Genomic DNA, 24,248 nt, shown 5'->3' on the forward strand with positions numbered 1-24,248 from the left:
TCTTCTAGCTCCTATTGTACTAGTGAGAGAATTAGCTGAGTTTATATATGTAAAGCACTAATAGAGCCTGGCATATAGGAGAGATATAATAAATACAAAGTGAGTGAATCATCTCATTTATATGCATCCATCCAATACACAATGATTCTGAATACAGGGGCACTGTAGAATGCAGGGGTGGGAATACAACAACCAACAGGACAGGCCCAGTCTCTGTCCTCAAGGAGCTTCTGCCTGTCTGAACCATTTCCTTGGTTGATGCAGATGTGCTTTTGACTTGTAAACTTTTGCCTAGAGATTATCTCAACTTTTCTCTTACTCCACTCCTAGTTTCTATCTGCCTTGTACGCTGTTTTCTGTTCTGGGATTTGTTGTGTCCAGGAGGCACCAAGGACCGATGCCTTATTGAGCCCTGAGGTGACACATAAATCGATGCATTTTTACAACCACATGATGTTTGTTGCTTGTAGTTGTATTCCTTCTTCTAATGTTGGAGTCAGTTAGAGATTTGGCTTATGTTGAAATGGTAGAATCTTTCAAAGGAATGAGGAAAGCAGAATAATAGCTAAAAGGTTCACTTCTTGGCCTCCTCATGTTTTGTTCTCATTGCTTAGAATGTTTCACAACCACTGGAACCACTTCCTTTTCCAAGTCTGGCTAATTTCACCTTGGACTAGATTTCACTTCCTCTTGGAAGCCTTCCCAGACTTTCCAAGACAATGGACTCTTGGGTAGAGCTTGCGCTCATCTGTGTAGGTAAGACTTATTATTCCGCTGCAGAGTAACTGGCTATTCATCTGTCTGCCCCACGAGTCTGCAAGTGCCAAGTCCCTTATATCCTCAACCCAGCAATACCTTCTTGCTGTTAAGAAGTAATGTTCTCTATGCATATATAATATATACAAATTGAATTTATGTAGAGGACAGGAACCAATAAAGCAGGTAAATTCGGCAGTCATTTGTATTGTCTTATAACAGGTCTATTTACTTTTTAAATGTATTTTTGTAGGGTTTTACTGAGTAGGATTATTGCTATAAAAAACAACCTCCAAATCTCAGTGGCTTACACACAAACCAACTTTCTCAACCATGTGACAATTCAGTGCAAGCATTCAGTCAGCAGCCTTGCAAATCTTGTGGCTCCACCATCCCTTATGCCCTCAGCATCCTCTCTTGGCTCTTCTGCATTCAGTTGGCAGAAGGGAAAAGAAAAAAAAGTCATTCAAGAGGTTCTCTTCTGGGCCAGGCCCCAGGCATATATCACTTCCCATCCAGTTAACCAGAATTCAGTTACATGGCCACACGAACTGCTAGGGAAACTGTGAAATGTGGTCTAGTTTTGTGTCCAGGAGGAAAGGGAGATAGGTTTTGGTGACTACACAGCAGTCCTGCCACAAAAGCATACCAGAGCCAGGCAGCTCGTGGGTCAAGTGAGGCCCTGGTCTGTCTGCAGTGGGTCCCAGAGTGAAGTAATTACCCTGGTTATCTACTGTTTTGCCCTTGCAGACAAACACGTGTGATCAAAATCTAAACCATTGCCTTGAACTCATTGAGCAAGTTGCCAAGGTGCAGGGACAACTCTTTGGGATCCTCACAGCAGCAGCCCAAGAAGGTGAGAATGGCCTGTAATTTCCCATCCAGTTCTGCTTGCCTTTCTCTCTTTTCTTGGTGCTTTTTTGTGTTCTTTGACTGTTGGTGTGGTTGGGTTTCTCTCACTGACCTGATGACCTGATGTGTGTATTCTCTCTTTTTTTTTTAATTATACTTTAAGTTTTAGGGTACATGTACACAACGTGCAGGTTAGTTACATATGTATACATGTGCCATGTTGGTGTGCTGCACCCATTAACTCGTCATTTAACATTTTAGGAGGACGTAATGATGGTGTGGAAACAATCAAGTCACGCCTTTTGCCTTGGCTGGAGGCTTCCTTTACTGCTGCTTCCCTGGGAAAATCTGTTGACAGCAAGGTCCCCTCTCTGCAGGTAGGGATGCTGAAGGATAACCCTTGACTTTCTGAACAGTGAGATAAAACGAATCAGAAACCTCCAAGAGAAGAAGAGGACTTGATTTTGGTAGACTGATAGAGTGTCACAATTTGTGATGGATATTGGTGGTTTCCATGGGACGGTGTTAGTTTTTGAACAGGTAGAGATCAGACTAGAAAGAGCGCACATACCTTGCTTAAGGCATCCACATCATTACATCTGGGCAACCAAAACATTAGTTACTTTACTTTGAAACATTTATATGGATTTACCTATAATCCTTTCTAAAACAGAAGCATTTAGAAAGCATTTAGTCTGTTCTGAGAAAACCAAACATCACATGTTCTCACTCATAAGTGGGAGCTGAACAATGAGAATACATGGACACAGGGAGGGGAACAACACAGCAGGGCCTGTTGGGGGATTGCAGGGGTGAGGGGAGAGAGAGCGTTAGGACAAATAGCTAATGCATGTGGGGCTTAAAACCTAGGTGACAGGTTGATAGGTGCAGCAAACCACCATGGCACACGTATACCTATGTAAAAAACCTGCACATTGTGCATGTGTATCCCAGAACCTAAAGTAAAAATAATAATAATAATAATAATAATAATAATAATAACAGAAAGAAAGCATTTAGTCTGTTCTGAGCAAGAGCATTATAAGATAGTGGCTGAAGGATCCCTGCTTGGAGATCACTGAGCAGAAAACCAGTCCCTCTTTTATGGCCCTGGGTAGGTATCTAAACATTTATGTCTCAATTTTCTTATTTGCTGAATGGAGACAATGGTTTTGCTGATCTAAAAGGTTCATTTGTGAGAATTAAATGTGATAAGCACACTAAACAAGTTACACAGGGCCTGACACATGTTAAGTACTTTATAGACTTCAGTTATCATTAAGTAATTTTTTTTCCCTGAGAATTTATGGACGCTTCTCAGGTTTTTATCCTCTGTGTGGGTGTTATTCTAGGTATAAAGATGTAGAATTTCAAACTGTTTTTGGAAATTGAGGTATAATTTATATTCAGTGAAATCCATAGATTGCTATTTCAGCAAATGCATATACCTGTGTAAATTCCCATCCCTATTGGGATATCAGACATCTCCATCACTCTAGAGCATTTCTTGCACCTTCCCCAGGGCAACCATCTTCTGATTTTTATCACTCTAGATTAATTTTGCCTGTACTAGAACTTCATGTGCATGGAGCCGTGCATAATTGTGCTCTTTTGAGTTGGGCTGTTTTTTAAAAATTCATCCATGTCATTTAATGTATTCAGACTGTTTTTTTTTTTTTTTTTTGGTGTATCTTTCCAGGACACGTTTGATAGGGAGAGACATAAAGATCCCAGTCCTCGGGATCGGGATATGCAACAGTTAGACTCTAATTTGAACTCAACCCGGAGTCAATGCAACCAGGTTCAAGACGAGTAAGAGGAATGCAAGTTATCTTTTTCCAAAAAGAATTGTTTTCAATTTAATTAAGTTTTAAATTCGAAAGGAGAATAATGGCTCATGTAAAATGTGGGCATTTGCAAATAAGTAATATGATTGTGTGTGTGTCTGTGGGCATGTGTGTATGACAGAGAGAGAGGGAGAGAGAGACAGAGAGAGAGAGTCAGTGGTCAGTGTCTGTGGATTTGGGGACAGGATATATTATGATACATGGTCCCCTGGTTCCTTCTTTGGAGTTCCTTCTTCATAGGCACATCATCAGCCTATATTGACAAACAGGTAAAGATTGTTAGACAAAAATCTACCTATTGGGAGAAAAATTTTTAAAAAGATGTGAAAGGGAAAGAATAAAAGAGAGTGAACAATCAGGCAAAGAGGAGAATTAAGAGAAAGACAGCAAAAGTCAAATGAAGCAGGCTGCATCTATCAGTCCATTATACTCATTTAGGGGTGTATGTGTGCTTCTCTGAATCTGAGAGAGTCAGAGTCTTTTAAGAAAGGAAGAATTCAAGATTTTGCAATATCTATTAGGTATAAGAATGTATTTTTTAAAAGTTAAGCAATTCCAGGCAACAACACATATCAGATGCATGTTGTGGGCAGAGCCAGGGTAGCAAGCTTAGGGAATCACTGCAAAGAAAATTGTATGTGGACTTTGGGTTTGTACTTGAGGCAGGTAGACAAATATGTATGAAACTGTGTTTGACATACCTAACAAAAATCCATCAATGGGAATTTCTCCTACCACAGCATTGCTTCATTGCTGACATAAATGGGACAGAAAGGAAATCTTTTTTTAAAAAAAATTAATAACTAGTTAAGGCTAGGATGGAATAATGTGTGGTGCTCTGCCTTGTTCCCTGATGACATTTCCATTTTTCTAAGGAAGAAATCTCTATTGATTTAGTTTTGCCTGATTATAAAAGTAATACAAATTTCTTTCTCAAAATGCATACAACAAATAAAAATTGATGAAAATCACTTGTTTTCTTGTCCCCATTAACATTTTGGTATATTTTACTCCAGACATTTTTCTTTGTGCCTGCACCTCCACACATATCCATTCATATTTCCAACTGGAATCATAATCAATGAGCAGTTATATACCTGAAGCAGTCAAAATTTATAAATGTAACATGCAAAAAGCATAAAATATATAATTTATTTCAACCAATGTGAGCTCATTTTGAAGGATTCTTCAATAAGCCACTTCAAGGTCACACAGTCATTTTTGGTTTATCGTAGTCCATTTTCTGTAAACATTCAGCTCATTCCAAGTGCAAACATGCATTAAGAGCTATTTTTGCCCTCTCATGGGGTCTCCCTTCCCCTCATCCTTTCTAGGGAAGGGATGCTTGTATACTCTCCTGGTGACGGACATGAGGAGTTTTTGGTCTTATACTGCCCTCTGGGTTCTTGCTGGCCTTAATTTCATGTAGGCACTAGTGTCTCGTGCTGATGGGTCCTGAGTTGTGCATGTCTTGTCTGGGGAGGTATCCTGGGACATTAGCTAGCAACGGCTGCAGATGACCCTCCATTTTCCTCTAGTTGTGAGGAAGGGCATCAAAACTTTACTGGTTCTTGATGGCTGTCAGCACCAGTAGGGGCCAGGGTTTCCCACTTCTCTTTCTTGTTTCAGTGACACTGTTGTTACCTATAAGGGGTACCATAGATCAAGAAACTTAATGCATGCTTTAAAAAAACTTTTCATTTGAAAATAATTTCAAACACAGCAAATCTGCTAGAATAGCGCTAAACATTTCCATATGCCCTTTCATATGCCTTTTGCCCTATATGCTTTATCACGTATGTGTTCCTTCTCTTTCTATATATATATATATATATATTCTCTCCACCAACCATTTGGAAGTTGCATACATGAAGATGCTTGCTGCTTTTCCCTGGTTTTCTTAGTTTCTATTTTTATGTTATTTCAATAGATTTTGGAGAACAAGTGGTATTTGGTTACATGGATAAATTGTTTGGTGGTGATTTCTGAGATTTTGGTGCACCTGTCACCTGAGCGGTATACACTATAGCCAATATGTAGTCTTTTATCCCTCACCCTCCTCCTTCCTTTCCCTCCAAGTCCCCAAAGTCCATTATATCATTCTTAAGCCTTTGCATCCTCATAGCTTAACTCCCACTTATAAGTGAGAACCATATGGTATTTGGTTTTCCATTCCTGAGTTACTTCACTTAGAATAATGGCCTCCAGCTCCATCCAAGTTGCTGCAAAGGCCATTATTTCATTTCATTGTATGGCTGAGCAGTATTCCATGGTGTATATATACCACATTTTCTTTATCCACTCCTTGGTTGATGGGCACTTAGGTTGGTTCCATATCTCTGCAATTGCGATTTGTACTGCTATAAACATACATGTGCATGTGTCCTTTTCATAAGATGGCTTCTTTTTCTTTGGGCAGGTATGCAGTAGTGGGATTGCTGGATCAAATTGTAGTTCTACTTTTAGTTAAGGAATCTCCACATTGTTTTCAATAGTGGTTGTACTAGTTTACATTCCTACCAGCTGCATAAAAGTGTTCCCTTTTCTCCACATTTACTCCAACATCTATTGTTTTTTGATTTTTTAGTTATGACAATTCTTGCAGGAGTAAGATGGTATTGCATTGTGATTTTAAATTGCATTTCCCTGATAATTAGTGATGCTGAGCATTTTTTTCATATGTGTATTGGCTGTTTGTGTATCTTCTTTTGAGAATTGTCCATTCATGTCCTTTGCCCACTTTTTAATGGTTTTTTTTCTTGCTGATTTTTTTTTGCGTTCCTTGTAGATTCTGGATATTAGTTCTTTGTCAAATGCATAGTTTGTGAATATTTTCTCCCATTCTGTGGGTTGTCTGTTTACTCCGCTGAGCAGAAGTTTATTTTTGTTTCTTTGTTTCTTCTGCTGTGCAGAAGCTTCTTAGTTTAATTAGGTCCCATTTTATTTATTTTGGTTTTTGTTGCATTTGCTTTTGGGTTCTTAGGCATGAATTCTTTGCCTAAACCAATATCTAAAAGAGTTTCTGGTGTTATCTTCTAGACTGTTTGTGGTTTCAGCTCTTAGATATAAGTCTTTGATCCATCTTGAGTTGATTTTTGCATAAGGTGAGAGGTGAGGATCCAGTTTCATCCTTCTACATGTGGTTTGCCAGTTTTCCCAACACCGTTTGTTGAATAGGGTGTCCTTTCTCCACTTTGTTTAGTTTTAACTCACCTGTAGTTCTTATTCTGTTTTTAAATTTAAGGTATCACTAAAAGAATTTGTTCTCCACATTCTATGGTAGCCAGCTCTCTCTTCCCTCCCTTACTTTGCCTACTTGTCTCTTAAGCCAGGGTGCTGCCCACGATGGAATGAATGGGCCACCCAAGGAGGTTCCCTATGTCTAACCTTGTAGAGACTGCTTTGGTTCTGACTTAGTTCCAAAATGCAAATTCCAATAATTATGGGCAAATGGCCACAAGTCTGCACAGGTTTGATGAACCCCCAAGCAAGGGAAGATTTTTAGATTTTATGCCTGGATTCTGGTTATGAATCTTGCTTTTCCTCCTCTCCTATATCCAATCTATCAGAATGTCCAATTGAATCTATCGCCTAAACTTTCACACTTGCCCCTTTCTTTCTATTCCGCCACCCCTGCCCTGGTTCAATCCTCTGACATCTCTTTCCTGAACCAATTGCCTTCCTTCTGACTGGCTTCCCCACTTCCATTCTTGGTCAACCACCATCCGTTTTCCACTTAGCAAATATGTATATGTTTTATTGTATCAAGTCATCCTTCTTTTTTGTTTTTGTTTTTGTTTTGAGACAGAGTCTCGCTCTGTCACCCAGGCTGGGGTGCAGTGGTGCGATCTCGGCTCACTGCAAGCTATGCCTCCTGGGTTCATGCCATTCTCCTGCCTCAGCCTCCTGAATAGCTGGGATTACAGGCACCCGCCACCATGCCTGGCTAATTTTTTGTATTTTTAGTAGAGATGGTGTTTCACCATGTTAGCCAGGATGGTCTCGATCTCCTGACCTCATGATCCGCCCACCTCAGCCTCCCAAAGTGCTGGGATTACAGGCGTGAGCCACGGCGCCCAGCCATATCAAATCATCCTTCTGATTAAAAGCCGTTAGTCTCCTCCTTTTAAAAATATTATATTTTATTTTAAGTTCCGGGATACACGTGCAGGATGTGCAGGTTTGTTATATAGGTAAACGTGTACCATGGTGGTTTGCTGCACAGATTAACTCATCACCTAGATATTAAGCCCCACATGCATTAGCTATTTATCCTGATGCTCTCCCTTCCCCCAACCCCCAACAGAGCCCAGTGTGTATTGTTCCCCTCCCTGTGTCCCTGTGTTCCCGTTGTTCAGCTCCCACTTATGAGTGAGAACATGTGGTGTTTGGTTTTCTGTTCCTGCGTTAGTTTGCTGAAGATAATGGCTTCTAGCTTCATCCATCTCCATGCAAAGGACATAATCTTATTCCTTTTTTGGCTGCATAGCATTCCATGGTGCATATGTACCACATTTTCTTTATTCAGTCCATCATTGATGGGCATTTGGGCTGATTCCATGTCTTTGCTATTGTGAATAGTGCTACAGTAAACATACATGTGCATGTATCAATAATAGAATTATTTATATTCCCTTGGGTATATACCCAGTAATGGGATTGCTGGGTCAAATGGTATTTCGGTTCTAGATCCTTGAGGAATCACCACACTGTGTTTCACAATGGTTGAACTAATTTATATTTCCACTAACAGTGTGAAAAAGTTCCTATTTCTTTGCAGCCTCGCCAGCATCTGTTGTTTCTTGACTTTTTAATAATCGCCATTCTGACTAGCATGAGATGGTATCTCATTGTGGCTTTGATTTGCATTTCTCTAATAATCAGTGATGTTGAACTTGTTTTTATATGTTTGTGGGTCACATAAATGTCTTCTCTTGAGAAGTGTTTGTTCATGTTCTTTGCCCATTTTTTGATGGGGTTGTTTGTTTTTTTCTTTTAAGTTTGTTTAAGTATTCTCTTCCCTTTATACTTAGAAAAAATTCTAAATTTCTCACCAGGGCTCTCATAACACCCCTCCTGATCTGGCTGTATTTCTGCTCCAGTGTCATCTCCTGTCACTTTCCCCTGACCCAGTCTACTGTCTACTTCCTCACTTTGAGGCTTTTGCCTGTGCTCTTCCATTGCCTGAAAGAACTTTTCAGTCTTCCACTGGCTCTTTGCATGCCTGGCTCTTTATTATCCTCCAAGTCTCAGCTTAAATGTGCCTTTCTCAGAGTCCTTCTGTGACCACCATACGTTGAAAGGTCTTTCTTCTCTCCTTTAATACTCTTCCATGGTGATCTGCTTTTCTCATAATAGCACTTATGAGAAAAGTTAGAGAGTGAAGTCACAACTGGGAACTTAAAAAAATAAACTTGCTTGCATATTTATGATCTATCTCCCCAACTAGCCTGGAAGATCCAAAGGGTTACTGTCTTGCATTGCTGAATTGACACTGTTGTATCCCCAGTACTGAGCATCATGCCTGGCTCATAGTAAGTCCTCAATAATCTGCTCAATGAATGATCAGATATGCAACAAAACATTTAAATAGAACGTCAGCCTGATTAAAACAATTGTTAGCATATGGATGTACTTTTCTTTCTTCTTTCTTTATGTCATCCAAGCGTGTGAAATTAGCATGTATGTTTGCTTATATGTGCATCCGCTTGTATGTGTTAGGAGAAAAATACCCAAGTTCTTCATTCCTGCTTGTATTTTCCTCCTTTTCTTGATCCATTTTCTACAGTTCATTTTCTCTTGATAAAAATGTTCATTTTCACATATTTACTTTTAAGAACTTGTTACATCTTATATTTGAATTAAATATATTAGTTTCCTTTCAATCTCCAATAGCCATATTATGAAGTTAATGCTATTTTTTGCTTTCTTTTCATTTTTAGACATTTCATTCATTCATTCATTTCTCATTTAAAAAATATACCGTGTGACAGGAACTGTTTAGGTACTGGGGATAGAGATGAATAAAATAAAATTATTGCCCTCAAATAGTTTATAGTGTGAATGCAATGAGGTAAATGGGAATGGAGTGCCGAGAAGGGGAAACAAAGTTTTCTTGGGAGAATTGGGGATACTATGTGGAAGGCCCTTGCCGAGTGGGCATTTATTAGAGGAGGAAGCAGGTGGGGGATGGAATTTTCGGTGTCTGGTTAGGATCTGTGGGATTGACAGGGATGCTGTTAGCACATTATTTCTTAGGCTGCTTCACTCTCTAAGTGAAAATCCCAGTGTTTTGCCTTCCACTGTTCTACCATCTAGAGGGAAGGATAAAGGCTGGTGTGAGTTTGGAAGGCAATTGCACTATCTTAGCCTCAGGACAAGTGCTATGATATCTGGCAGGGTCAGAGAAGTCAAGAAGACTTTGTCAACTCAAGTCTCACTGTTCTGGGGCAACTTCATTGAGGACCATTGGTCTTCATTCAGTATCATCTATCTCACTTCCATTTTTTTTTTGGAGACATGTTCTTACTTTGTCACCCAGGCTGAAGTGCAGTGGCACAGTCATAACTCACTGCAGCTTCAAACTCCTAGTCTGAAGAGATTCTCCCACCTCAGCCTCCTGAGTAGCTGAGACTACAGGCACACACCACCACACCTGGCTAATGTTATTTATCTATTTTTTATAGAGACAGGGTCTCACTATGTTGCACAGGCTTGTCTTGAACTCCTGAGCTCAAAAGATTCTCCTGCCTTGGCTTCCCAAAGCGTTGGAATTACAGACATGAGCCACTGCACCCAGCCTCACTTATTTTTTAAACTAGATAGACCTAAATAACATGATTTATTATGATTTGTCTACCATGAAGAGGATTTGAAGCTAACTATGACAGAGATACAGTGAAAACTCAGAGAATTTGTGCTCAATAAGTAGTAGAAGTCAGAGGCAGGAAGACATGAAGTACTTGATTGTCAAGGGTGATTGTGAGGACTTTATAGGTGGGCACATAATTTTTTTAAATATTGAAGAAGTCTGCAGCCCCACAGTCCAAAGCAATAAAAATCGATGTTGGTATATTATAGAAAAGTGGAGATTTTGTAGAGAAAGCCAACTTGGGGCTTTGATGTAATTAGAGCAGATGAATTAGGCAGGTGAGAAGGAGAAATTGAACAAGTTTCTTTGTCCTTTATATTCTAATACTAATAGTCTTTTGGGGGTAGTAGCTCTATAATTTCCTAGTGTTTGACATTGAGCAAAGGATGTTAGCATGTTTTAGCATACAAGTCCACCACAATATTTGCAATATTACCTGATTGAATGCAGATGTCTTTTAATTTGATCTTGTTTATGTTGAACTATGTCATATACCAGAAGTTCCTAAGTGAGCCTCTGCCTTGATTTAGAAAGTCTGCCAATTTTGAAAAATCTATCTTTAGTTACTGATTTATCTTACAGTCTGGTTGAAACTGAAAAGAATCTTGAAGAAAGCAAGAACAGATCGGCCATATCCCTTTTGGCTGCAGAGGAGGAAATAAATCAGCTGAAAAAGCAGTAAGAAAAAAATTACAGGATTATTGCAGCCTAAATCATTGAATTTAGCTTTTTTGGTGCTCCATTACAACATGAAAGAATCTGTTCACTATCAGAGAGAAAATGCAGAAATATTTTTATTAATTATATATATATATATATTTACTACAAAGATATTACTTATCTACTATAGAAAACTTCCAAAGTACAACGTAGTATAAAGGCATATAAAAACCCTTTCATAATTGCAGAGCCAGTGACTGTTACCATTTTACATTCTTTCCAATTAATATATTAAAAATAGAGTGGAGACTACAGAATAAAATGTATAAGTATACAATTTTGGATCCTAACTTTTCACCTGACATTGTTTTCTCTATCACTAAGAAAAAATACTGCAGAAGTTAGTTTTAAATAGGTTCATTATGTTCCATCATTTGGGGATTTCCCTCATATTGAATATTTACTTGTATACTAATTTTCAACATGGGAAATAATATTGGGATAATTTTTGTGGAAAAATATCAGTTGAACTGTCAGATTATTCCTTAAAGATAAACTTCTAGAAGGGGAAAATAAACATTGATCTTTTAAAGTTATACCTTCCTGAGGGGAACATCACACTCTGGGGACTGTTGTGGGGTAGGGGGAGGGGGGAGGGATAGCATTAGGAGATATACCTAATGCTAAATGACGAGTTAATGGGTGCAGCACACCAACATGGCACATGTATACATATGTAACTAACCTGCACATTGTGCATATGTACCCTAAAACTTAAAGTATAATAATAATAAAATAAAAAAAGAGTGAATTCACATTCTCAAATATGTATAAAACATTCATAAAAACTGACCATATATTAGCCTGCAAAGGCAAACTTAACAAATTTCATAAAGATAAATAAAAACAGCAATCTCATAAAAAAATAAGGTTATACCTTCCTGGATCTTAATTTTGATCTCCCCCTCCCAAAAGAGTAAGTGGGGGGGGGGGTGTTTTACACACACACACACATACACACCCCTTTTGATTATCTTCGCATGTGTTCCAATGGTTCTGATTTGGTCAGGAACACCCACAAATCTTAACTAGGAACACTGTTCTATTTTCTACTTCTGTCTTCCCCTTCCTCATCATTTTAATCTCTAATTTCCTATTTGTTATACCTTCTCAAATCCATCAATCATATTACTCATCAATTACCTATAGCACCAATTCTGTTCTTTACTGTTTGTAGTGCAGCTTTTCATTCTATTATATCTTTAGCTTCTTTGCATCCTTCTTAATCTTACTAACTTTCTTATCTTCTTAATCTTACCTTTTCATTTTACACCCTTGTCATTTTCATCGTAGCATCTTCTCTTCTCCTGGCTTTTGCTCTTGTTTTATGGTGGCCATGCCACTTTGTATCTTGATAAGGATGCCAATTTTATTTCTAAAGATTTTTTTGTTTGCTACATTATTTTCATAGGTTCACACTTCTAGCTAGTTTTGTGGATGTTATTCAATTTCCATTGTAGTTTTCTCTCATATTCCAACTGTTCAGAGAATCAAAGATTCTAATTAATATTAAATATTCCAATTAATATGTTAAAAATAGAGTTGAGACTATTCAGAGAATCAAAGAACTAATGAGGGTAGGAGATTGTATTTTAGACCAGCTGCCTGAATAGCTTTTGGAGGTCAAATAAGCATGCAGTTAAGATCTGTCCAACATGGGACAGTATGACTATGGGTCCAGTGTTTTTGCTAGAGGATCTGCATGAGTGTCCTTTCTTTAGGAACTTTTCCCCATGCAAGCTGCAGACATGGAGTGGCACCCTGGCCCTGGCAGTTCTGCTCCTTGCTAATTTGTTCATTCATGTGTATTTCCATCAGAGTTTCCCAATGCAATAATGGCAGGCTGAGTAGCCTCTGTTGTTAAGCATGCCAATTGCTGCTTATTACCTTTCCTTCCTTCCTTCACTCCCTCCCCTCTCCTCTCTTCCCTTCCTCTGCCCTCTCTCTTTGCTGTTCAGGCTTAAATCTCTTCAAGCTCAGGAGGATGCCCGCCACAGAAACACAGATCAGAGGAGCTCAGAGAATAGGCGGTCAGAGCCTTGGAGCTTGGAGGAGCGGAAGCGTGAGCAGTGGAACTCACTCAAGCAGAATGCAGACCAGCAGGACACAGAAGCCATGTCCGATTATAAGAAACAGCTCCGAAACCTGAAGGAGGAGATAGCTGTTCTGTCTGCTGAGAAAAGTGCACTCCAAGGAAGGTCAGACAAACTCTCAAAGATCTTCTCATTTAGGCTCTTTTTGCTGAGTTAAGGGATCGGGGAGGAGGAAATAAGTAAAATGATAAAATGATACCCTGAACCAAAACCTCAGCAATCTGCCAAGCTTTGAATTGTAAAGGGATTGTTTTCTTAACTGCACCCCTTCCAGAGAGAGAAAATACCTCCTGAGTTGCCAGCACTTGGACACTAATTAACTTTGGGCTGAGAGATATGGAGAAGGAAAGTTCTTTTTTTTTTCTTTTTGAGACAGAGTCCCGCTCTGTCACCCAGGCTGGAGTGCAATGGCATGATCTCGGCTCACTGCAACCTCTGCCTCTTGGGTTCAAGTGATTCTCCTGCCTCAGCCTCCCGACTAGCTGGGATTATAGGCATACACCACCATGCTCGGTTAATTTTGTTTTTACTTTTAGTAGAGATGCGGGTTCACCATGTTGGCCAGGCTGGTCTCGAACTCTTGACCTCAGGTGATCTGCCTGCCTCCACCTCCCAAAGTGCTGGGATTACAGGCATGAGCCACCACGCCCGGCTATAAGGAAAGTTCTTTGGCTTGAAACCAGATTTGTGCAGGCCTATGGTGCAAGAGGTGGTACCCTCATGGAAAAAATGTTCTGTAATATGAGGGGTCATTTTCTCTGATGCCTGGGAGTCCTCTCTCCAGGGATACTGTCCATTTCACTGCAGGGTATTTCCCTTTTATATCTGACTTTGATGGCATGTGTAGGTGAAGTGTTCTTGTGAAATCCCTTTCTACTTATGGACAGATTTTAAGACAGGTCATCCAGACAGTGTTAAGTAAGGACAAAGTAGGTGTTTCTCTGGAGTCTCTGCATTTCCCTTATTCTTTTTAACAACCCCCCTCAAGCCCCTAATGTGTTCTGCTCCAGGCTATGAGAGCCCCCATTCCCATTCTCTAAATGTCACCACAGTCTTTAATTTTGGGGAATCATTCTGTCAGTGTTGTGTTTGTGCCAACTTGTATTGGCTTCCAATAACCTATTCTGTGCCTGTTTGACATGGTGGTAGTATTTACACCATGGGAATTGGAAAACACCATAAGTAAGTCTTGCCTTACCCAACCCAACCTCCCTGACTGTTGTACTCAGTTTTGCAATACCTTTTGCCAGGTAGTTTCTTCTGTAAAACCTCCCTTTATGGAGACCCGTTTACTTCAGGCTAGCTAGTCTGATAATTTACTTCGTACTTGAGGGCAATATAACTTTTTACTGATACAGTAGTTTACAATATACCCAGTACTTCCACATGTATTTGCTCATCTGACCTTCCAATCCCCACCTCCACCCTAAAATAGGGCAAAAGTTATGTGTGTGAAAACTGGGAATTCCAGCTACTTGGGAGGTTGTGGTGGGGAAGATTGCTTGAGCCCAGGAGTTCTAGACAAGCCTGAGCAACATGGCAAGAACTCATCTCTAAAAAAAGTTAAAAAAATGAATAAATTAGCTGGGTATGCCTGTGGTCCTAGATCCTCTGGAGGCTGAGGCAGGAGGAACTCTTTAGCCCAGGTGTTTGAAGCTGCAGTGAGCTATGATTGAGCCAAGGGATTTTTGGAAACCAGTCAGTAAAGGTTCTGGCCCAGTTTTTGTTACTTTGGGAGAGTGTGTTTAGCCATTTGGCTTGTTTGAAAATTTCTTGGACATGAGTTTCCACTTTTCCAGACACATTAATGTAGATCAACAGGTTTTACTGATGACAGCAACTTGTTCAGCTAGGAGATAATCTAGAGCTCGTCTATTTCAAAAACCATTCCTGCTAGTGAGCCTAAAGACTTTTCTAGCAACGATAGACTTGCACCAGTATTTGCTAAGGCCAGTATTTGCCAGTATTTCAAGGGAGGTGGTTAAGTTCCCGTAGTGATTTCATGGTAAGTAAAACCTCCCCAAGGGGCAAGAGTTGCGATAGTTCCCACAACTCTGGCCACAATAAATCCTAGGGTCCTTTTTCTTCTAGAATGGGATTCTAGATTGGAAATTATGTTCAGGACAGTGATTTGGGTGGGAGCTATTGTACCCGGAGTACAAACATCATAATGAAGAGAATTATGAAGATAGAATAAAGCCAAAGCTTTAAAGGAGTTTAAATAATTTTTAGCAGTGCCACAAAGCCATAAGAGCCCAGGAGTGGCAGCCAGGTAATATGGTGTTGATTGGTTTGATTAAAATGTTGGAAACAAAGGAAAGGGGCCTCATGACAGTTTTTGAGAGGCCCCATATGAGAGGAAAAGTCATGGTAATGTCCCAGCTGGTTGGGTGAGTGGGGGGCGCAGCGGTGGTGTTCAAAACCAGGGAAGCATATGTGCAATGGATAGGATATAAGTGGCATGATGGTTTTTTCCGACATTGGTTATATCATTCTAGTAACATACATGAGTGGTATTAGGAGTGCAAGGGGTGGTGTATACTGGAGGCCTTACTATACTGGTTTGTCTGAAAGGCTTAAAAATGGGCAGTGATTAGACAGATTCAGAGTTTTGTTGTAAGAGCCTCAAATGGGTTAATGTTACCCACAGGAGTACCATTATAACAGGGTGTACATCCTAAAGTAACATTACAAATTAAAGAAGTTCCAATGATATTATAAGTATGAATGGTGGGGGGAGTACTAAGATTACACGAAGGTGGAGATATTTCCCATTTTACCAGCATGGAGAGAAATGGTTGGGGTAGGAAGGTGTGATAAGAAGACTTGCTCAGCCGCAATTAGATTTACCCAAGGCTCATCCATAGAAAAGGAAAAGACAGGAGCCTGGAAGGACTCAAGGCCCCAGCAGTCATCTAGAGGATGACTTTGAGAGGCTTGGTTATAATCCAGGAATAAAGTTAGAGTTGCATGTCCTTCCCCTTGTCCTTGTTCTGCAGAACCCCCTTGTCAGGTATGTTGGTGAGGTTGTGGCTGTGATGGCTTAGGAGAAAGAAGTGCCCCTCTGTCACAAGGGAGGGAGGGGCACTCATTTTTCTGATGATGCTCTTGTTTGCAATGAGAACAGGGTCCTGGGGGTGGCTTGTAATCTGGAGGTTTTGGACATTTTCTTCTCTAGTGTCCTGGATTTCTGCAGTGATGACAGGCCCGTGTTCTGTTAGTGTTATGGGGACGAGCCTTGGGGTTATTGGCTAATGAAAAAGAATGTGCCAATGCTGTCACCGTGTAATTAGTGTGGTGCTGGCATTTTTCCTCCTCCAATGGAACTGTTTTTGTTTTGGATATTTCCTCCTGATTATTGAAAATCTTAAAGCCTACATTTAATAAAGTAAGAAAGGGAGTTTGTGGGCCATGCTCTAATTTTTGGAGTTTTTGTCTGATGTCTGGGGAAGTCTGACTTATAAAATGTATGGCCAGAATTGATAGGCTGTTAGGGATTTGGGGGTCAAAACTTGTGTATTTATGCACATCCTCCACCAGTGTAGCCTGGAAAAGGATGAGGCTCTCAGATGGCTCCTGAGTGATTTCTTGTAATTTAGAAAAATTAACAGGTTTTATTACTGCCTTTTTCATTTCTTCCAACAAAAAAGAGATCATATAATGTCATCTGCCCCTGCCTCTCTTTGGGCCGGCATCAGCGGCCCGGTATTGCCAATTGGGTTCTGGGTCAGGGACAGCTTCTGCCCCGGCTTTATCATTGTTAGGATTATGGACATGAGCTTCATCTGCCCAAGCTTGACCATATGCGTGACCTTTCTTCATGGGAACAACAAGTAGTTAATACCACAAATATATCTTGCTAGATTCAATCAAAGGCAATAGTTGAAGCCTAAAATTCTTGAATGAACTTAGAGGGATCCAGGCTAAATGAACCCAAACTTGGATTAAATTTGTGAAAAATCAGACATTAGAAAAGGGACATGAACTTGGATTGCTCCTAAATCTCCATTAGCTACCTCACAGAGAGGCAAAACATTTTGGGATTTTCCGAGGACTCTGTACTAGTGGTATATGTAACTCCTGTGTGAGTATCTGACAGGGATAAAGTATATGGACATGGGGATGTTTGATTAGGGGATGGAGCAGATGGGGAGAGCGTAGGTAAAGCAGGAGCAGGCTGAGGACAGAGTGATAGGCAAAAGGGTCATCTAAGACACCAGACTTGAGGAGGTAGGAAGTTTCTTGGAAGGATACATGAAAATTTTTATGTAATTTTGAGTTTTGGGATAAAGCCAAAAAGACCTGAACATATGGGATAAAGACAAAAAGACCAGAACATATCCTTTTTGAGGGTCTGGTAAAATGCATCTACTTGTAAAATAATATTGTGATGCAAAGTTCCATTAATAGGCCAATTTGATGTATTAGGGATTACAAAAGAAAATTACATGCTTCTTTTTGAGCGTTTATGGGTCAAAATCGGACTGATTTTTAAGAACGCATGCATTCTGGAGATGTATAGAAATTCTAGTTGCTTATAAATTTTTGGGACAGAAGTCTGGTACCAGATGCTGGAGTCAGATAATAGGGAAGTCTAATCACTTCTGAATTCCTCAGATAAGGAGTTTTGCCTCCGGATGGTCGGATTCATTGGCCACCAGATGATCTTTGCTTTACTTAAGAAGCAAATCAAAGGATTTCCCTGGCTGATTCTCGCTCACCAACAGGTCCTCCAGGAGCCGGTCTCCCAGCCCTGCCCCTCGCAGCCGTAGCTGCAGCCGCAGCAGATCTGCCAGCCCCTCCACCGCTGTCAAGGTCAGGAGACCGTCCCCAAACCGCTCCAAGCTGTCCAATGTGGCGCGCAAGGCTGCCCTCTTGTCCCGGTTCAGCGATTCCTATTCCCAGGCCCGCCTGGACGCGCAGTGCCTGCTGCGGCGCTGCATCGACAAGGCTGAGACCGTTCAGCGGATCATCTACATCGCCACAGTGGTATGTGACGCCTGCGGGACTCCCGGCTCCTTAGGGCAGCCGGGAGACAAGTTCTGTAACGTGAATGGAACAACTTACAAAGACTAGTGGATCCTGAGGTCACTGAAGTGGGGGAGATTCCAGTCTCCCCATCTGTCTCCTTCCTTCTCTTTCTTCCTCCTTCCCTTTCTTCCTCCTTTCCTATTTCCTTCCTTCCTTCCTTGTTCCCTCCATCCCTCCCTCCCTCCCTCCTTTCTTTCCTTCCTCTTTGTTTCTTCCCGTCTCTCTCCCTCTCTCCTTCCTTCCCTCCCTCCCTTCCTTTCTCTTTCCCTCCCTCTCTCCATCTCTTCCTCCTTCTTTCCTTCCTTTCTCCCTTCTTCCTCCATTGTTTCCTTCCTCTCTCTCCTTCCTTCCTTCCTTCCCTTTCATTACAAATATTTGGGGGATGAATCATCTTCACAATCGATAACTATTCATATATATATGAATAGTTATATAATATTTATTTATTTAGTTGGTTATATTGACCAGGCATTTGTTTAAGAAGTATCCGTAAACGCAGGACTATCTCAAATGGGTTTATACAAAGTAGATTTGCACTGTACCTTTTGTCTAATATGAGCATATGCACACACAGTGGATATATTATTGCTAATGGCTGTCATTTGGTTTACTTTAGTTCTTAAACAAATGAGAAGGCTGTGATTGTATTAATGCTTCTGTTTGTTTAATTAAGAGTAGTTATTAAAACTGCTTACATATCAGCTATTTGAGCATGACAAATTTTAAAAGTGCACATATGTATCCTTAATTTCCAAAACAAATATGTTTGTTCTATGGGTTAGTGTCATACTAAGATACTGAGAGTTCATGAGGAGAATTGTTAAATATTAAGAAACAAAACAAAACATTGGTATGAGAGCAGAATTATCAGAAATACTGAACTTTATCCTGTATTTATTCATTTAAATCAGGGTTAGCAAACCATGATCTATGGACCTTATCTGGACCTGGCTCATATTTCTAAGAGAAATACTACTGTCTGAAAGCTAAGAATGTAAGAATGTTTTTAGATTTTTAAAGGGTTGTAAAAAAAAAAAAAGACAGAAACTGTATGTAGCTCAACATGCATACAATATTTGCTGTCTGGCTCCGTATTGAAAAACGTTTGCCATCCCCTGGTTTATATAATTAAGAACCACTTACTGAGTTAGTTAAAGCTCTGTCAATGTACAGACCACATCTTCCTTGCATAACGGAGTTTTCCCAATGCTTACCACACCATAAGCATTTAATAAATATTTGTTGAATTAACATATGCCAGGACACATGTCTGAGTCTGGATATGTGTTTATAACATAAACACTAGACTGATAATGTTCTCTTATTTCTTGACCAGTAATGTGATATTGCTATGGGCTTATAGCAGGGGATTTATTTCCTTCAATTTCTGCACTGTCCTGCTTCCTGCACTCAGAATTTCTAGAATAATAGTCAACTGTCTTGATGTTAGTGAGCATGGATTATTATATGTTTATGTACTTTTCAAAGTTAGAGATGTATTTTCTTCCAGACTAAAAATGTTTTTGATCAACTGTGTTTAGTTATCAGAAGACCAATATGATGTTGAAGCTCGGATTCTTTCTAATTCCTTGTTTTGGATCTCTTCACCTACCTCTTTTCACCAAATAAATTTGCTGCATTTTTATGTGCAGGAGGCATTCCATGTAGCAAAAATGGCATTCAGACACTTCAAGATCCATGTGAGAAAATCGTTGACACCATCTTATGTGGGGTCGAATGACTTTGAGAATGCTGTCTTGGATTATGTCATTTGTCATCTTGATCTATATGATTCTCAAAGCAGTGTCAATGTAAGTGTTGAGTCTTTTATTAGGACTGGTTTGCTGCTGCTGCTGCAGTTTATATTGAGTACTAATAACTCAGAAATCCATCCAGTATTTAGTATTAATTCTATGTAATGAAAAAGAAGAAAGGAACAGCATTCAATTTACTTGGTAGCACCTGCCATTATTGACTGTTTCTTCCTTAAACATATTATAGGGAAAAAATGTCTGAGTTTCTTTAGATAGGCTGTTATGATCAGGAGATGGAATATCATAGTTCTTAAGAGCAAGGATTTGGGGAAAAGTATGTATGGATTTGCTTCCTGACTCTGACACTTACTAGCTGTGTGATCTTACACATTTACTTAATCTCTGTATGCTTTAGTTTTCTAATCCTTAAGTGGGAGTAACACTGTTCATTACTCCATAGAGTCATTGAGAGCATTAAATGAAAGAAAGTAGGCAATTTGCTTAGCACAAGACATGGCACATAGTTAACACTCAATAAAAGCAAACTATTAATAATGATTGTTATGGATTATGAACAATTCAGAGTTCTGTGTTGGCACATCATACCCTTGCTCAGAATAGAAAAATAAGGATATGATAAATAAAAGCCACAGAAGGTTTTTTTCCTTGCTTTTTTAGGACTCTCTTGGCTTTTACTGTGTCATTTCTACTCTGTGTCCTCTTTCCTTCTTCCCTGTGAATGGGTGGCAACATCTTTCTCCTTTTAGCACATTCACTGTTTTTCTGCTTTAACTTGCTTTGGCTCACATTCTCTTTTCCCACCTCCCATCAATCCTAATATTCTTAGGATGTCAGAGTGTTTTTGTCACAGGCTGGTAACAAAGTGATGCCATCTTTTGTTTTTCAGGATGTGATCCGAGCCATGAATGTCAATCCCAAGATTTCATTCCCTCCTGTCGTTGACTTTTGCCTTCTCAGTGACTTCATCCAGGAGATATGTTGCATTGCCTTTGCAATGCAGGCCTTAGAACCACCCCTAGATATTGCATATGGAGCAGATGGAGAAGTTTTTAATGATTGCAAGTAAGAGACACAGGAGCAGAAGCTAAGGGATTTATCATGAATACATTGTCTTGTCTGTTTCCTGAAAACAATTTAAGGAAAAGAACTCTGGGTGGAGAAATTAACAGACACTACCTGATTTTCAGGCCCTACCATATACTTCTCTGTACTCCAGGGCAGGACCCACTCCTAGAGTTATTTTCCATTGAACATATTGGTCTTTGGGAGAGAACTAATGAGGACTTGGAGCCTATCTAGAACACTTTTTTAAAGATGCTCTATAAATACAAATGTGCATTACTTTCTATTGGTTTTTATTGCATTACTCAGGCCAGGCTTCTCAAAGTATGATGTGTGGATCACCTGCATCAGAATTACTCAAGGTACTTGTTAAAAATACACATTCCTGGATTACATTTTCTGACATTTTATGCAGTAAGTCTAAGACAGGGCTCAGGAATCTGCAATTTAACAAGCACCCAGGTGTTCCTTGTGCACACTAATGTTTGAAAATTAATGCTCTTGACTCTTTTGTCTAGGACCAATAGATTGCTACCAACTTTTACAGGATAAATATTCCCCTTATAAATTAAAATACATTAAACTAATTTAAAACATTGTATTGTGATTTCTTGAGATCACAGGATATAGCTGGAGATTATCTGGGAAGAAATCAAGCTAGTGGTTAAGAACACAAGCTAGTGGTTAAGAACCTAAGCAGCCTCAAGCTGCTTAGGTTCAAATTTCAGCTCCATCACCTATTAGCTGTATAATGTTAGGCATGCCACTTAATTTTTCTATTTCTTAGTTTCTTCTCTATCCAATGGGGGCAATAATAATGCCTACTTCCTAGGGTCGTAGAAGGTTAGTTGAGATAATTCAGACAAGGCACTTAGGATGCTGCCCAGCATGAAGTGGGTGCCCAGGAAATATTCACTCCGGGTTTTTGTTCAGGTTGTAAAGTTATGCCCAGCATTCCTGAAAGCTTGTTGATGAGGGAGGATGGATAGTACCACTCAGAATCATTCACTTTCTTTCACTTATGCAAATCACAACAATAATGAACTTTCCAATTGCCTTATAGCATGTAATATTTTCTTGCCATTGTCTTGCTTCTAGTTTCTCCAACATGGATCAACTCATGGAAGAGCTGATACTAGGACATTACACTGCAGTTGGGTCTTTTTGGTTCCACAGAGCACATTATCTTCATTTGTCTCCCTTTATTCCTTTCTCCTTTAGAGGATGGAGAGTGCCATTCAGAACCATTCACCATTTTAGTTTATGGAATCTGCACATGTCAAAGACTTCTGTAGGGCCTCTTGCTGACATTCCTTTAACCAGAGGGAATGTGCAGCTTCTAGGGCATTCTCTGGCCTGTGTGCCTGGACATCTGTGCAGCTGGAATTGGATTTTCTAACAATGATTGGATTTAGTTCTACTTCTAGAACTTCACAGAACAAGGCTAACCCTTTTTCACCCTGGCAGCCTTTTGTACATTTGAAAGCAATTACTCAAACCCTCCTCCTTCTGGCCTCAGGGCTTCAGGGTTTCTTCATATGAAGTAGATTTGGGACTTCTTGACAAATAGATTCATTGTCTTGTTCTTGATCTGTGCACCTTTTAAAGAAAGTGAACTGACTGGCCTAGAGGGACTAACACCCTTTTTATTCTTATTCTCCATTAATTCAGCTAACTTACAGTAGTTTTTCTTTCTTTTTTAGCCTTCTAACAGTGTTTATTCATTTTGAATACAACTGAAACCTGCTGTATTTTTCTTGTACTGTGACTAAACCATATATCTCCTCTATTTGTGAAAATGCTTTTTAGACTCAATTATAGGACCTCATATTTATTCACATTTTATTTTATCTTATTAAATTCAGCTTATTGTTCCAGCCTGTTGAGCTGTTTTTAATCAATGTCATCTTTTTTTTTTCCTAACCACCTGCATCTTTGAGCATGTTTTCTATATTTCATACAACTCATTCATAAACATGATGACTTATCATGGGATTGAGAGAGAGCCCTCAGCATCTTCCTTCAGGTTTCTGTCGATCCATTAATTACCCCTCTTTGGATATGATCATTTAATTAGTTTCCAATCCACCTACTTAAGTTAATCATCCTCCTATATTTCTTTTATTTTGTCCACAAAGACAGCATGAAAAATTCTATGGGAAGCCTGATGGGACTTCAGATGCTAGTCTATGTCTTTAGAATTCCCCTGAATTGCAACTCTTGTAATCCTGAGAAGAGAAGGAATACAATTAGTTTGACACGATTTGGTCTTAGCATATCCGTGCTGGGTCCCAGTTATCATTAGTTCCTATTCTAAGAGGCCACAAAGATTCTTAAATAACAGAATTTGACCTATATTTACTCAGATCTGAGCATAATACAAAATGAGAATTCACACTGATGTTTTCCCCTAGATATGCTCCATAATTGCTTAACTTCTCTTTCTTTTTTTGTATATTGAAAACAGATACCGCCGCAGCTACGACTCGGATTTCACTGCTCCCTTAGTCCTCTATCACGTGTGGCCTGCTCTCATGGAGAATGACTGTGTCATTATGAAGGGAGAAGCTGTCACCAGGAGAGGGGCTTTTGTACGGTGGCCTTGCATAGTGACAATTCATCCCAAGTGTTTGATTCACAAGTTCGAGAACATTTATAAACCCAGAGATTCTATAAAAGAAGTTTATAAAGAGTTGATAAGATTTCATACAAAGGAGAGGTCGGAGATGATCTCAAGAAGAACTGATTCTTTTCTTTGATTCTTCCATAATTCTGCATAATTTCCTGGCAGTAATTTCTTTACTTCTTGCTTTATTTAGGAGATGGAATCAGTCATATTTACCTCCTCCATCTTAGAATTATTATAATATTTTAAAAACAAAGCCCTTTGAAGTTATCTTGTAGGAGGATTGCCATAATCCTAAGCACTTAAAATCAATTAACTCTCAGGAAACGATTTGCCAAATTTTTACTGACGATTTTCTGTTTTGGGAAACTGCCAATGTGCCCTGTTTTTCTCTCCTTGGTATGATGTGTATGGAGGGGAGGGATGGAGACAAAGAGGGCAGAGGAGGTGGGAGAGAGGAACCAATCAGTTTGGGAAGGTCGCTTCCTATATCCATTGGTTATAGAATGTTTTGAACCTACAGAATGTTAAATACTTGAACAGCCTTTAAAAAAAAGGAGTCTTAGGTACCGTATGTGAGCATGTGGGTGTGTACGTGTTGTACTGGGGATTGGG

General features: G+C 39.6%; 1 protein-coding gene across 14 annotated transcripts in view; it reads left to right on the forward strand.

Moving 5' to 3' along the window:
* SPATA18 (spermatogenesis associated 18) overlaps positions 1 to 24,248 on the forward strand; it is a 45,996-nt gene that overhangs the window by 7,609 nt on the left and 14,139 nt on the right. The window contains exons 2-10 of one of the 14 annotated variants that reach the window (NR_123728.2): positions 1,507 to 1,612; positions 1,870 to 1,985; positions 3,308 to 3,420; positions 10,909 to 11,004; positions 13,005 to 13,244; positions 17,867 to 18,128; positions 19,823 to 19,981; positions 20,832 to 21,007; positions 23,475 to 23,648. Coding sequence is in view for 10 of the 14 variants with exons in the window: in NM_145263.4 (NP_660306.1) it covers positions 1,507 to 1,612; positions 1,870 to 1,985; positions 3,308 to 3,420; positions 10,909 to 11,004; positions 13,005 to 13,244; positions 17,867 to 18,128; positions 19,823 to 19,981; positions 20,832 to 21,007; positions 23,475 to 23,598 (1,392 nt within the window). In the remaining 4 variants the exon portion in view is untranslated. Of the gene's footprint in view, positions 1 to 1,506; positions 1,613 to 1,869; positions 1,986 to 3,307; positions 3,432 to 10,908; positions 11,005 to 13,004; positions 13,245 to 17,866; positions 18,129 to 19,081; positions 19,165 to 19,822; positions 19,982 to 20,831; positions 21,008 to 23,474; positions 23,649 to 24,248 lie in introns of those variants that run through there. The other 13 variants (NM_145263.4, XR_007096360.1, XR_941044.2 and 10 more) reach the window with 13 other exon arrangements.

Source organism: Homo sapiens, chromosome 4, assembly GCF_000001405.40.
Source record: "Homo sapiens chromosome 4, GRCh38.p14 Primary Assembly".
Classification (NCBI taxonomy): Eukaryota; Metazoa; Chordata; class Mammalia; order Primates; family Hominidae; genus Homo; species Homo sapiens.